This window comes from Homo sapiens, chromosome 10 (assembly GCF_000001405.40).
Source record: "Homo sapiens chromosome 10, GRCh38.p14 Primary Assembly".
NCBI classification, from domain to species: Eukaryota; Metazoa; Chordata; class Mammalia; order Primates; family Hominidae; genus Homo; species Homo sapiens.
Window position 1 is genome coordinate 116747899 of NC_000010.11, and position 14436 is coordinate 116762334.

Consider the following 14436-nt stretch of genomic DNA (forward strand, 5'->3'; position numbering starts at 1 on the left):
TGAGGCAGGAGAATTGCTTGAACCTGGGAAGTGGAGGTTGTAGTAAGCCAAGTTTGCACCACTGCACTCCAGCCTGGGCAACGAGAGCAAAACTCCATCTCAAAAAAATAAAAAATAAATAAATAATGAAGTAGAAACATGGGCTCAGAGATACTAAACCTCTTGTTCAAAGTCACACAATCAGTGACAGAGCTACGGTCAAACTCAGCCCCCTGACTCCCAGCCCAGCTTAACCCTTGACCCTTGTTGGCCTCTTCTGCAAAATACAAAGTGGAAGATAGCTTGTGCTAGCTGTGATTACTTGGTGATGACTCACTGGGGCATGTCTGCACAGTTGTGTTCTTCCTGGTAGCAAGCCCATGGTCACAGTATTTGCCTGGAGGAGAGGTACAGGCAGCATACAGCTGAGGAGAAGGAGACCAATGACCTAGAATAAGGGTGTTATCTGAGCCAGAGGGCTGAGAGCTTCAACAGCAGTGTCCAAGAGCAATGCTTGCACAAGTCTCCAAAAACCCCAGAGTTAGGAATGCACACTAAGTCACCATCCTCATTGCTACTCTTCTCAGGGAAACCAGCACTTTTCTCAGTGACTTCTGCAAGAGTGAGCCCAAATATTGTCTATCTTTGGGTCACTGGATGTGTTAGTCCATTTTCACACTGCTGACAAAGACATGCCTGAGACTGGGAAGAAAAAGAGGTTTGATGGACTCACAGTTCCACATGGCTGGGGAGGCTTCACAATCATGGCAGACAGTAAGAAGGAGCAAGTCACATCTTACATGGATGGCGGTGGGCAAAGAGAGAGAGCTTGTGCAAGGGAACTCCTCTTTATAAAACCATCAGATTTCATGAGACATATTCACTACACAAGAACAGCATGGGAAAGAGCTGCCCTCCTGATCCAATTACCTCCCACTAGGTCCCTCCCAAGACATGTGGGAATTGTGGGAGCTATAATTCAAGATGAGATTTGGGCGGGGACACAGCCAAACCATATCACTGGGTTCCTGGTGGCAGCCCTGTGGGAGCTGGGACCAGTCACTTGTCCCTGGGCCTCAGTCTCCTCATCTGCAGAGCAGACCCAGCTCCTCTCCCTTCCTCACCCCCTGCTGTCTGCTTTCCTACCTTGTGTCATCCCACTGATTCACCTTGAAGGGCAGCTCCTGAGAAGGACCCTCCCCACCCAACCTATGGTTCCATATATTATGCCACCCCATTTCTCCACGGCACTTTTATAAGAGCCAAGGGTTTCACGTTATAGAGAAAAATGACTTTCCCCTTCTCCAGCCCATAGCCCAGTGCCGAATGACTTTAAATGGCTTTAAAGTCATTTTGCAAATCTGTTTATGGTGAGCCTTCCTCACTTGCTGGGCTCTTCCTACCAGCAGTGGTGAGAATGAACATTTATCAAGCACCTGCTATGTGCTGGGCATTGCTCTGGGAACCTCACATCCATTGCCCCATTTATCTTCATGACCGTGTAGATGAGAGAACTATATTGTTAATGTCCCCCATTTTACAGGTAAGGAAACTGAGGCCCGGAGATCAGGTACTCAGCTGTTGTGACCTAAGAAGAAAGTGGCAGAGGAAGAATTTGCCCCACGGCATTCTGAGCTCAAGAACACGTTTGTCTGTCATGCCTTCATCTGTGTGCAGCAATGTCCCCAGCTCCTAGCGCAGCACCTGGCACATGGCAGGGCCTCAAGAAACGTGTTGAATGAATGAACAAATTATCAAATTAGAAGACAGAATTACAGTTCACAAAGCACCCTTATATCTCTCCTCTCGCTTGACTCATGTAGCGGCACTGAGGGGGAAACATCACTATTCCCGAGTTTTTTAAGATGAGAAAACCAAAGGTCCAGTGAGACCAGGAGCAACCTTGCCTGGAGGTGGATTCTCCATGGGCTGCTTTAGGCTATTTTGTTTCTTTCAGATCTTGTGCTTTATTTAAAAGTTGTGGGCTCTATGTCTAGCGAAGGATGCAGGTCTCTGTTCTGCAGGACAGGGTTTGTTAAAGTTGTCAAGAATAAGGCCTGCTTTAAGAGATACAAAGTGAAATTTAGAAGACAAGAGGGTAAAATGGATTACTGTGCTTGGAAATGCTTGGCAATACAGGATAAAAATAAGTACAACATGCCCAAATACAGGATGATCGCTCACATAACTAACACAGAGAGTGTTTGTCACATTGCTTATGCCTGTATGGAAGGGGATATGATAATGTGTGTACCTTATGCTCATGAGCTACCAAAACATGGTGTGAAGGTTGGCCTGACAAATTATGCTGCGGCACATTGTCCTGGCCTGCTGCTGGCCTGCAGGCTTCTCAATAGGTCTGGCATGGGCAAGATCTATGAAGGCCAAGTGGAGGTGACTGGTGATGAATACAATGTAGAAAGCACTTATGGTCAGCCTGGTGCCTTCACCTGCTATTTGGATGCAGGCCTTGCCAAAACTACTTCTGGCAATAAAGTCTTGGGGGGCCTTGAAGGGAGCACAGATGGAGGCTTGTCTACCCCTCATGGTACCCAATGATTCCCTGGTTATGATTTTGAAAACAAGGAATTTAATGCAGAAGTGCATCGAAAGCACATCATCAGTCAGAATGTCGTGGATTATACGCATTTCCTAACAGAAGAAGATGAAGATGCTTACAAAAAACAGTCCTCTCAATACATAAAAAAACAGCATAACTCCAGGCATGGAGGAGGTGTAGAAGAGAGTAACGCTGCTATGCAACAGAATACAGTCTATGGGAAGAAACCCAAGAAAGAAGTTTAAATAAAGAGAGGGGCCGGGCTCCGTGGCTCACACCTGTAATCCCAGCACTCTGGGAGGCCAAGCGGGAGGATTGCTTGAGCCCAGGAGTTTGAGACCAGGCTGGGCAACATAGGGAGACCTCGTCTCTACAGAAACTAAAAATTAGCTAAGCATGGTGGTGTGTGCCTGTCATCCCAGCTACTTGAGAGGCTGAGGTGGGAGGATCGCTTTAGCCTCGGAGGTCGAGGTTGCAGTGAGCTGAGATCGTACCACTGCACTCCAACTTGAGTGACAGAGCAAGATGAAGAAAGAGGAAGGAAGAAGGACGAGGAGGAAGAGGAAGAACATGAAGAAGAAGAAGAAGAAGAAGAAGGAGGAGAAGAAAAATGAGAGGAAGAGGAAGAGGAATAGGAAGAAGGAGGAGGAGGAGGGAAAGGAGGAGAAGGAGATGAAGAAAAGGAAGAGAGAAGGAAGAAGAAAGAAGAACTAGTAGTGGGTGACAATGGCAAAACTGTCCCAAAATGTCCCTTGCTCAGAAGAAAGATCAGGTAGCTCAAAGGAAGGTGTGCTTCCTCAGAGTTCAGGATCAGGCTGCTGAGAGCTAAACCAAACAACAATTTTCCATGAGGATTTTTCAAATAAAGACAATGAACTTATGGACCAACCAGCAAAAAATAAATAAATAAGTAAAAATTAAAGTTGCATGTACATTTTGCATGTACATAATGCAATGTACATTTTGCATTATTGTGGAATGCATATGCGTTGTGCACTCCACAATATATCTGTTTTCTCAACAAAACTAACATCTTAGATTTCCATTACTTGTTTCTAAAATGTTTTATTGTGAAAAATTTCAAGGATCCAGAAAAGCAGAGAGAATGCTATAAGGACCCCTCAGGTACCCATCACCCAAATTAATTTGTAAAAATCAACTCTAAGTAAAATTGCTTTCCCAGGAAAAACAGTAACAGTTGCTATCATTTACAGTTCATGTGTAAATATGCTGACACGGTTTGGATGTTTGTCCCCTCCAAATCTCATGTTGAAATGTGACTCCCAATGTTGGAGGTGGGACCTGGTGGGAGGTGTTTGGGTCAAGGGGACAGGTCCCTCATAAATGGCTTGGCTTAGTACCATCCCCTTGGTGATGAGTGAGTTCTCAGTTCACTGACTCCTCCTCTGCTCTCTCCTGCTCTTGGTCCTACCATGTGTTGTGCCCGCTTCCCATTTGCCTTCACCATAATTGTAAGCTTCTTGAGCCTCACCAGAAGCCAAGCAGATGCCAATGCCTTGCTTTCTGTTCAGCCTGCAGCACCGTGAGCCATTTACACTTCTTTTCTTTATGAATCACCTAGTCTCAGCTATTTCTTTATAGCAACACAAAAATGGACCGACACGTATGCTCACTTAGTTTTCACAGTTCTCCCTCTAAGAAGTCCACACTTATGTTGGCCTCTATTTCAGATGGGGACGTTGGGGGTGGTGAGGTCAAGTCACCTGCTGGAAGTCTTGGGGCTAGAAGGGGCAGAGCCAGGAGTCACCCAGAGCCGGTCTGCTTAACCACCAAGTAGCCCTGCCAAGAGCCTGGAGGTCAAGTAAGTGCTTTAAAACAATTCAAGGAAATGGGGCTATGCCCTCTTTCTTTGAAGTCTAAAGTTTGCATTAAAGTCACATGGTTTCTGAATTATCCCATAGCAAGTCAGCCAAGACACCTGGTCTTTCCTTCATCCTCCCCTCATTTATTCTCATTCAGCCTCTCTCTCACTTATTCATCCTATCCGTCAATCATTCTCTCCTTCCATCAGACATGTGCTGCAACATAAAATCTAACCAGACACAGGCCCAGCCCTCAAGTAGCACCCAGACCTTGTGAAAAAGAGAGAAACAAACACAACCAAAATTCAAGGCAGACTTCAACCAGTACCCTCATGTATGAAATTTACAAGAAAATTTCACCTATCTTCTGCTTCAGGGAGCAAAAGAGCAGGGTGCAAGGAGTGCAGTAGTTAAGGATGTGGGTTAGGGAGTTAGATTATACTTGCTCCATCCCCGCCTAGCTGTGTGGCCTTGAGTGACTCATCTACCCTCTCTGATTCACTTGTAAAAGAAGATTGACATGAACCCTTTTATACTAGGGCCATTGGAACATTTCCTTAGATAATGCTTAACCCAGTTTCTGCAACAAAGGAATCTCTCCATCAATGTTAGCCATTATAACTGGCCATTACCTATAGCCCACTCTCAGTAATGACTCCTGACCTGCCTGAGTGAGGCAGGAGCTTTGTAAGAGAATGTATGCATTTGCAAGCCAGCTAGGATATTTTCCTTAACAGAATTTTCTCAGAAAGTCTGTAAATCAAGAAAATAAATGACACAAAAAATAAAAGTCCTCAGCCTTCCCTACTCAGCTGGCCAAGGGATGTTGGCCACGTGTGGGAAGTACAATCTGGTGGTCAGCGGAGCAGGGACAAAGATGCCCTGTTGTTTCACAGCCTGGCGCTGGCATGCTGGTATGCTGGCACAAATTCCATGATCCTGCAGGGCAAACCCATGGCAGTGGGGCCAGGATGGTCAGGGCAAGGCCTGCGGGCTCAGACAGGCCTGTGTCCCATTCAGCCTCTTTCCAGGACATCCCTCTTCCTGGGTAAGGACCAAGAGGACCCTGAAAAGACACCTGGCACACTGAGCACTTCACTAGCTGCAGTTATCACTATGATCAGTGGTGAGATAACACCCAGCCTGGGCTCAGGATCCCTGGCTCCAAGACCAGGTTCTGTCTTTTGCTGTGTGGCTTTGCACAGGTCACCTAACCTCTCTGATGCCCAGTCTCCCCATCTGTAGAATGAGGACAAAAATCATACTTATTCTTCCTGCCTCATCCTGCCTGTCATAGACCTGGAGTGGAATCCCAACTTTGCTGCTTCTTAGTTTGTGATCTTAGTTACTGTAAGCCTTATTTTCCTCATCTGTGAATGGGAATAATTATGGCACCCACCTCCCAGAGCACAAATTCCATGATCCTGTAGGGCAAACCCCTGCAAAGAGTCTGAAAGTAAAGTAAGTGTTCTAAAAGAATTCAAGGAAATGGGTCTACGTCCTCTTTCTTTTGTGAAGAGTAAGTGAGGTGGTGCGTGTGGAGTGCTTGGTCTGGAGTCTGGCACGTGGTACCCACTCCAGGATAGAGAAAGGAGCTCCTCGGTAGAGAAGGGCTACATCACTACAAGTCTAATCATATGAACACTCGCTTCACTCCAGTGCTTGCTCATTTTCTGCTGGGCACTAAGCCAAGCACTCAGCTACCTCATTTCAGCTTCCCAAGGGAGCCAGCCTCATGCCAGGGCAGGAGCAGCCCTCGTAGGCAACATAGTAGAGACACGGGCCGGGCCTTCCTCTCCCCACCCTGGCAGGGGTCAGCTATGAGCAATTTAGTCACCACTGGCTACACAGCCAGGTAATGCCCTCAAACTGCTCCACCGAAGTCCTTCCCAGGCTGGCAATGTGGTGGGAGGGAGGAGAAGGAAGTGGGCTCTTCCCTAACCAGCCTGTACCTGGACAGTCTTCACTCATAACGGGGAAAACACACTGTCTTGACCCATCCCCCCTCAGCTCACTGCGAGGATGGAAAGTGCTAAGATCTGGATAAAGGTAAAATGGCCAAATAAAAGAAAATTATGTATTTCATCCCCCAAAAGATTTGTTATTTTCTACGTTTCCTATTTTGTCCAGTATCCTGATAAAGTTCTAAGTTTAGAGCAAAAGAAGAATTAAAGAAAAAAATCAAAATATTAAACTTTTTAAAAGTTAAGTTTCTGGTTTTTAGAAACTAAGAAAATTGGGGATAAGAAGAAAAATAGACACTGAGCAAATAGGTTGCATCAATGTGATCTAACAGGTGTGTAACGTGCATGTGAGCCTAAGTGTGTGCATGTAAATGCATCTGTATCTCTCAGAGTCCAAGAACTAAATACTCAAAAGTCACAAAGAAATATGCTCAAGAAGAAACATACAGATAAATAAAAATATGAACAGAATGACCGATCTTGTCAGTAATTTATTTCTGTGTGTATATGGTTAAACACTTATTAAACACAGGTAAGTTATAAAACAATAAAACAATAACATCTAATAATGAGATCACAGTAGAGTCTATACTTTCATACATACATGGATGGAGTCATCGTAAACTAAGGACTTGCATACTTTGGGAAATCCTATGGCAACACTTAGAAAACACTGACCAGTTAGTCTTTCTCTTAGAAATTATGTCAAAAGAAAACAACTATATTTATCCATGTATTTTTTTTTTTGAAACAGAATCTCACTCTGTCGCCCAGGCTGGAGTGCAGTGGCACGATCTTAGCTCCCTGCAGCCTTTGCCTCCCATGTTCAAGTGATTCTCACACCTCAGCCTCTAGAGTAGCTGGGATTACAGGCGCCTGCCACCATGCCCAGCTAATTTTTGTATATTTAATAGAGATGAGGTTTCACCATGTTGGCCAGCTGGTCTCAAACTCCTAACCTCAAGTGATTCACTCGTCTTGGCCTCTCAAAGTGCTGGGATTACAGGTGTGAGCCACTGCTCTTGGCCTATCCATGTATTTTTAAATGTTAATTGATGCGAGGAGTACAACTGAATAAAATTACAAACATAAATATGAAGGTGGCGGCTGGGCACAGTTGCTCACATCTGTAATCCCAGCACTTTGGGAGGCTGAGATGAGCAGATCACTTGAAGCCAGGAGTTCGAGACCAGCATGGCCAACATGGTGGAACTCCGTCTCTACTAAAAATACAAAAACTAGCCAGGCATGGTGCTGCATGCCTGTAGTCCCAGATACTTAGGGGGCTGAAGCACGAGAATCATTTAAACCCAGCAGGCGGAGGTTGCAGTGAGCCAAGATCGTGCCACTGCACTCCAGCCTGGGTGAAAGAGTGAGACTGTCTCAAAAAAAAAAAAAAAAAAAAAAAGGTGGTGTAGTAACATGAGAAAATGTCACTTATTAAGCGGGGGATTGGGAGGAGGCTAAGTGCAGTGGCTCACGTCTGTAATCCCAACACTTTGGGAGGCCAAGACAGGCGAATGGCATGAGCCCAGGAATTCAGGACCAGCCTGGGCAACATGGCAAAACCCCATCTCTACCAAAAAAAAAAAAAAAAATACAAAAATACAAAAATAAAGAGCCAGGCGTGGTGGGGCACATCTGTAGTCACATCTACTTGGGAGGCTGAAGTGGGAGGATCACCTGAGCCTGGGGAGGTTGAGGCCGCAGTGAGCTGTGATTGTTGCACTGCAGCCTGGGCAACAGAGCAAGACTCTGTCTCAAAAAAGAAAAGAAAACAAAATTTTACAAGCAGAAAAACACCCATAAATAATGATGATAACCACTAAAAGTATGCCTGCATACGAACACCTCCTAGCCTGTAGAAAGATCAAACAGTTGTGCTAAGGTGGAGGGATAATGAGGGAGGCTTTGCCATTTCCAGGTTTCCCTTAAGGCTTTATAATCTTTTTCTGTCTCCCTCTTTCTCTGAACTCTGTCCGGAGACTGATGCCTCTCACTTCCAGGGAAGGGTAGGGGGCTGTATCCTAACTCTACTGTCACTCTGGCTCTCGCCATTTGATTTGGCTCCTAAATTGTGTTGCTCTTTCTCGAAAATGCAGCTCTCAAAACAAACTGGCTGGTGTGCTTGTGAGATCAGAGACAGACAGCTCCAGCAAATACTTGATTCGAGAAAACACATTACACTGTGTGCTGGGGCCAAGGAATTTCACATTTGGACAGGAAATGTCAGTCCCCACAAAAGGCCTTCTGAGGCCCCAAGAGTGAGCTCAGAATGGCTGCCCTTCCCTGAGCCTGCTCGCCTTGGCACACGGGCACCCTCTGGGCACCGGCCCATGTGGGTGGGGCTCACTCTACCCCCATAACCCAAGGCCTGCAGCCGCCTCTCAGCCTGTTCTGAATCTTGTGCTCCTTTGAGAATCTGATAAGTGCTCAGACTTTGCAAACCGTTTTGAAAGGTTTATAGATCTACATAGTGGGAGTTCATTCATTCATTCACTCATTTGTGCACTAAAACAAGCATGGATTAAGGGTCTGTTATGTATTACAAGGATAAATACAAAGGTGGGAAAACACAGTTGATGGTCTTCAGTGGGAGATGGAAAACAAGAGAATACAACTTCCAATGAATTGAGGGTGGGCCAGTCCAGGTGTAAAGTTGCATCAGTATCAAAAGCTAATATTGAGCACTTACTAGATGCCAGGCATCCTTCTAGGCCTTCTCCATGGCGTATGTAACTCATTGTGGATTATGTTTAATTCACTTAATCTTCCAACAACCCTAGAGACAGGTAATAGTATTATATTCACGTTAAAGGCTAGGAAATGGAGGCACAGGAAAGGTTCAATAACTTGTTTAAGGATGGTCAGCAAAAAAGCTTGAGACCTGGAACTCTGACCACTCTGGTGCTCAGACTGGTAACCAAGCCACCGCTGCCACAGTAGGCTTAGCTGGGGGAAATGGGGGATGACCTGCAAATGGGAGGAGGCCCCTCAGGATTCCTGGAGTTCTCTCTGTGAATTGGCACGTTAGTGTTACGGATTTTGCCTGTGTCCCAGGAGCTGGGTTAACAGCATGAGTCTCCCAGGGAGAAGCAGCTCTCGCATGGGCTGACCCCTCCAGGTCCAAGTGACAGGGCTGATGATCAAAATCCAGACACCAGAAACCGTCCATGTAGGGCGACGCTGAGTGTACCCGTGTAGACAACCAGGCCCCTCTCCCAAGGTCACCTGACTTCCCTCCAAATGCCCTTCCCTTCAACAGCAAAGAGTGAGAGGGAGGCACTCCAGAGTTACATTCATCATCCGCACACGGCAGGAGGTTGGACAAATGCAAAATCACCTGGAGACAGAATGTCTTTCAGGCTGAAACCAGGAAGAAAGAGAGGCAGCGGAGGTCAGGGTTAAGAGCACTGGCCTGGGTTTGATTTCTTGCTCTGTGACTTTGGGCACTGCTTGGTACCTTGGTTTGGTCACCTGTAAAATGGGAATAATAACTGTACCTACTTCATAGGGATGTGATGAAGATTAAACGAGTTCATACATGTGCAGGGACAGTGATAACACCAAAGAGCCAAGGATTGTCAGCTGCTATTGATTAGAGACTGAGCGACCTATTAGAATGGCCACATCCAGATAAATACAAATCCCATCTATCTACTTCTCTACCTATGAGATATGTGCATATAAAATTGTGCATTTAAAAGACTAGAAAGCAATGCACTAACATATCAATAGGAGTAGCCTCTGCATAGTAAGATGACAAGTGACTTATTTTTTTCTTCCCACTTCTCCACCCCCACAACATTTTCAATAAGTAACATGTTTTTCTTTTATAACAAGAACAGGATCAATAAATGATTATTTAAAATCCACTCAACAGAAGTGGGATAGGTGGTTTAGAAGCAGAGGATGAGGTTGGAAAGGATGTCTTAATGCTAGGTACCTAACAGCCTTCAGCGAAGGTACCTTGATACATGGATTTCAGTCTCTTTCAGACCCATGTCCTGCCTTCTGAGAAGCATCGCTAGCTCTGCTCACCCTTGCCCCACACTCATTCCCCTTTCACTCTGCCCATGTCCAGGCCTCCTCAATGCATTGCCCTGTGACTTCTGATTGCCGTTTATGAATCACCTACTATGTGCCAAGCTCTGGGAGGCTAATTCACTAGGTGAACTCTGAGCTGAGGTCCAGAAAGCAAATGAGTTGCCCAGGACCACCCGGCCAGGAGGTGGCATGGCTGGAATTCACACCCACATCACTTATCACTTCAAGTCCAGAGCTCATCTTACTGGACAGCTCCATGATACAGGGAAGTCATGGGTTACAGGAATATGAGGCCAGCGGAGATGGTTCCTGTTTTCCAGTTAGAATCCCTGCCTGTGGATCATTTGTGTTTGTGTGCATGTGTATACATGTGTGATTGTGTGTGCATTTTAGAGAGAGGGAAAGAGAGGAAGTGAGATAAAAAGAAATAATATATATATATTTATCAAATGTTTCTCAAAGACTCTAAGAACAGATAGCAACACACAGAGCTTGCTCAAGTTTTTTGAAGAATTAGAGAAACTGAATTTAAAACCAAGGAAATAAAGAGTGTGGACTCAGATGAGTAGAAAATAGAAAAGCCTGATCCTGTGGAATGCTCTGGGGTGAAGGCAGGCCTCGGCTGATTCTAGATCCTGGTTCCTGACAACAGAATCCTGGAAGTTCAAGGTCAGAAGGAACTTTAAAGGTGATGTTGATGCAGAAACCCCTTCTGCTGCACCCCAGACAGCCGGCTTGTTTCAGATTCTCTTTTGATGGGAACTCAGGACCTGAAGAAACAGCACATTCCCTCGTCTCAGAGAGATGTCAGCCAGCTCTTCCTCTCATAGCTGTTTTCTCTTTGGTCTTAATTTCACCCTCTGGAGTAATGCAGAATAAATCTGCCCTTCTATCCAAGAAAGTTTCTGTATCCATTAAGGTATATCCAGCTGCAAATAATCAAAAGTCCTAACTCAATAACAAGTCATTTCAGAGGTAGTTCTGTCTCCATCTCTGTGGCTCTGCCCAGTTTCACTGTTAGCTTGACCTCAGGAGGTCAGCAAAATGGCAGCTGCCCCTCCCTGTGTGCTTTGGAGCCATTCAGTGTCAAGAGGAAGATGTTAATATGTCTTCTTGTGGGTCTTTCTTCTCAGAATCCCCTCAGCCAACCTCTCCTCACTTCTTATTGGACAGAACTAGATCTCATGACCACTCTGAAGTCTAAACCAATGACAGGCAAGGACAATGGAGTTACCTTAATTGGTTTAAGTGGATCTGGGCTTACCTCTGAGCTGGGGACAGGGTCACCTTCCATGAGGATGAACAAATTCAGGGCTCTTCCATCAGGGAATAAGGGGGAAATGGATGTTGAGTAAATGACAGTGGCTTTGACAGCATTCAGTACTGGGGTTGCAGAGGGATAGAAGACATCTCCTCAGGTGGAATTCAGTGGTTTCTGCTTGATATGGTTTGGCTGTGTCCCCACCCAAATCTCATCTTAAATCGTAGCTCCCACAATTCCCACATGTTGTGGGAGGGACCTGGTGGGAGGTAATTGAATCATGGGGCTGGGTCTTTCCCATGTTATTCTCATGATAATGAATAAGTCTCATGAGATCTGATGGTTTAATAAAGAGGAGTTTCCCTGAACAAGTTCTGTTCTCTTGTCTGCCGCCATGTGAGATGTGCCTTTCACCTTCCACCATGAGGGTAAGGCCTCCCCAGCCACATGGAACTATGAACCCATTAAACCTCCTTCTTTTGTAAATTGCCCAGTCTTGGGTATATCTTTATCAGCAGTATGAAAACAGACTAATACAGTGCTTACCCAGGATCCACTCATTCTCATTCTGCCAGAGCAGCACCTATTTTTGCTCTGAAGGATGAGCTCTTCCTTGAGGCCCTCAGCCCAGGAACCTGTCCTCTTCAAGTCATGGTTAATCAGCTTCTTTGGTAATTATACGAGCTGCCCCATATCTTTCTAGTACATTCTTTTTTATAGCTTCAATAGCCAGACCCAGTCTCTATTACTTGCAGCCAAAGAACTCTAACCAGCCCATCAGATTCAAGGGCACCGAGAGCTCCCTGTTTCACTCTCCCAGGCTGGTAGCAGCCTAAGAACAGTGCACAGAGCCCTGGAGTTTAGAACCCAGGATCAAGAGTCAGAAACTGGATTCATAGCAATCCTCTGACTAGCTGTGTGACCTTAAATAAGTCACTCCACACCTCTGATCAGTCAGTCCCTGGAATCTCCTTGCTCCCAGCAGGACTGGAAAGAAAACACATGAATGTGCCCTCAAACTCAAGACATCCCACTGAACTCGGGGGTCCTAGACATAAGCCACAAGTCCCCATGTACTTGCTCAATGAATTATCAAATTCCAAATCACATCACTTCTCAACACCTCAGTTTTCTTTTTTTTGTAAAATGAGAACACTAATAGCATTACCCAGGGTTTTTGCGTAATTACACAGAATGATATTTGTGAAAGTACTTTCTACTCTGTTAATGCCACAAAGTGCAAGGGACGGATATTCCCAATATCTGCTGGAAACATTAGCTTATTTATTCACATAACAAAACAAATGGTATTAAAGTATAAGTGTAGGCAGTCGTCCCCTCTCCCTGCTTTTTCTTGGTGTTTGGGTTTCTAGGATAACAACGGAGATAAAGGATAAAACACATGCAAATATGCGCTCAACTAGAGAAGCCAGAGGCTAGCTAGATGTACGTGGGGAAAAGAACTATAATTCTCATAGAGGTTAAAAAAAAAGAAAAAAGTAAAATAAATAAATTTTTAAAAACATCCTTGATCTAAGCTGGGTATGGTGGCTCATGCCTGTAATTTAGCACTTTGGGAGGCAGAGGTGGGTGAGTCACTTCAGCCTGGAAGTTCGAGATGAGCCTGGCCAACATGGTGAAACTCTGTCTCTACTAAAAATACAAACATTAGGCTGGGAGCGGTGGCTCATGCCTGTAATCCCAGCGCTTTGGGAGGCCGAGGCAGGTGGATCACTTGAGGTTAGGAGTTCGAGGCCAGACTGGGCAACATGGTGAAACACCGTCTCTACTAAAAATACAAAAATTAGCTGGGCATAGTGGCGCACACCTGTAGTCCCAGCTACTTGGGAGGCTAAGGTAGAAGAATCACTTGAATCTGGGAGACGGAGATTGCAGTGAGCCGAGATCACACCACTGCACTCCCACCTGGGCAACAGAGCAAGAGACTCCATCTCAAAAAAAAAAAAAAGAACAAAAATTAGCCAGGCTAACTAGTGAGGAACTCATCTACGTAGTGAAGAACTCATCTAAAAAAAGTAAAAAAAATAAAAAAAAAAACGAAGAAATTAGCCAAGCATGGTAGTGCACGTCTGGCTGGAGGATAGCTTGAGCCCAGGAGCAGAGATCGTACCACTGGACTCCAGCCTCGGTGACACAGCCAGACTGTTTCAAAACAAAACAAAATCCTTGATCTAAAACGTGAAGGTGGAAGGAAAAACAGAACAGACCCTAAGAAGAAAGTTCACAAACCTAGAGAGGAGAGAGATGCTAGAGGTGGCTATCAGGAATATGAGAAAATGAGAGGTAGGGGAGGGAGAAGCAGGCAGTGATAACAAAAAAAAAAGGATTTTTCAGGTTTTGCTGGATGTTAAGAATGTTCCCCTTTACATTTTCTTGAGAGACTACAGGAAAGTTTCAATTTGCTTTCAATTATTTTTGGATGTTGTGCTAGTCTTTGAATGCAACATTGTGCTAAGGCTGGCCTGGACGACAGCCCAGTTTTTTGCAGCTTATATACCAATATTCACTGAGTTCCTTTCACATGCTAGGCACTGTGCTAGGCTCCAAATACAGCGTGGCCCTTGTCCTCACGGACCTTTGGCGTAGCATAAGCCGCCTGGCCTGTCCCCTGCCTCACTCTCCTATCCTGTTGGTCACCAGACCATACAGACTTCCAGAATGGCTCCTCATCAGCCCTGTGGGCACCTCCTCAGATGAAGACCTTGTCACTTCCCACCTGGATGACTGTCAGTTCATCTCCCTGCCTCTGGTCCCAATCCCTCACCCCTAATCCATTTCTAC

The 14436-nt window shown here is 45.4% G+C and overlaps 1 protein-coding gene and 1 pseudogene across 3 annotated transcripts in view; one reads left to right on the plus strand and one right to left on the minus strand.

Moving 5' to 3' along the window:
- The window catches only part of HSPA12A (heat shock protein family A (Hsp70) member 12A), a 179556-nt gene that overhangs the window by 76707 nt on the left and 88413 nt on the right, over window positions 1-14436 (minus strand). The window lies entirely within an intron of this gene.
- On the plus strand, window positions 1966-3434 carry RPL5P27 (ribosomal protein L5 pseudogene 27; annotated as a pseudogene).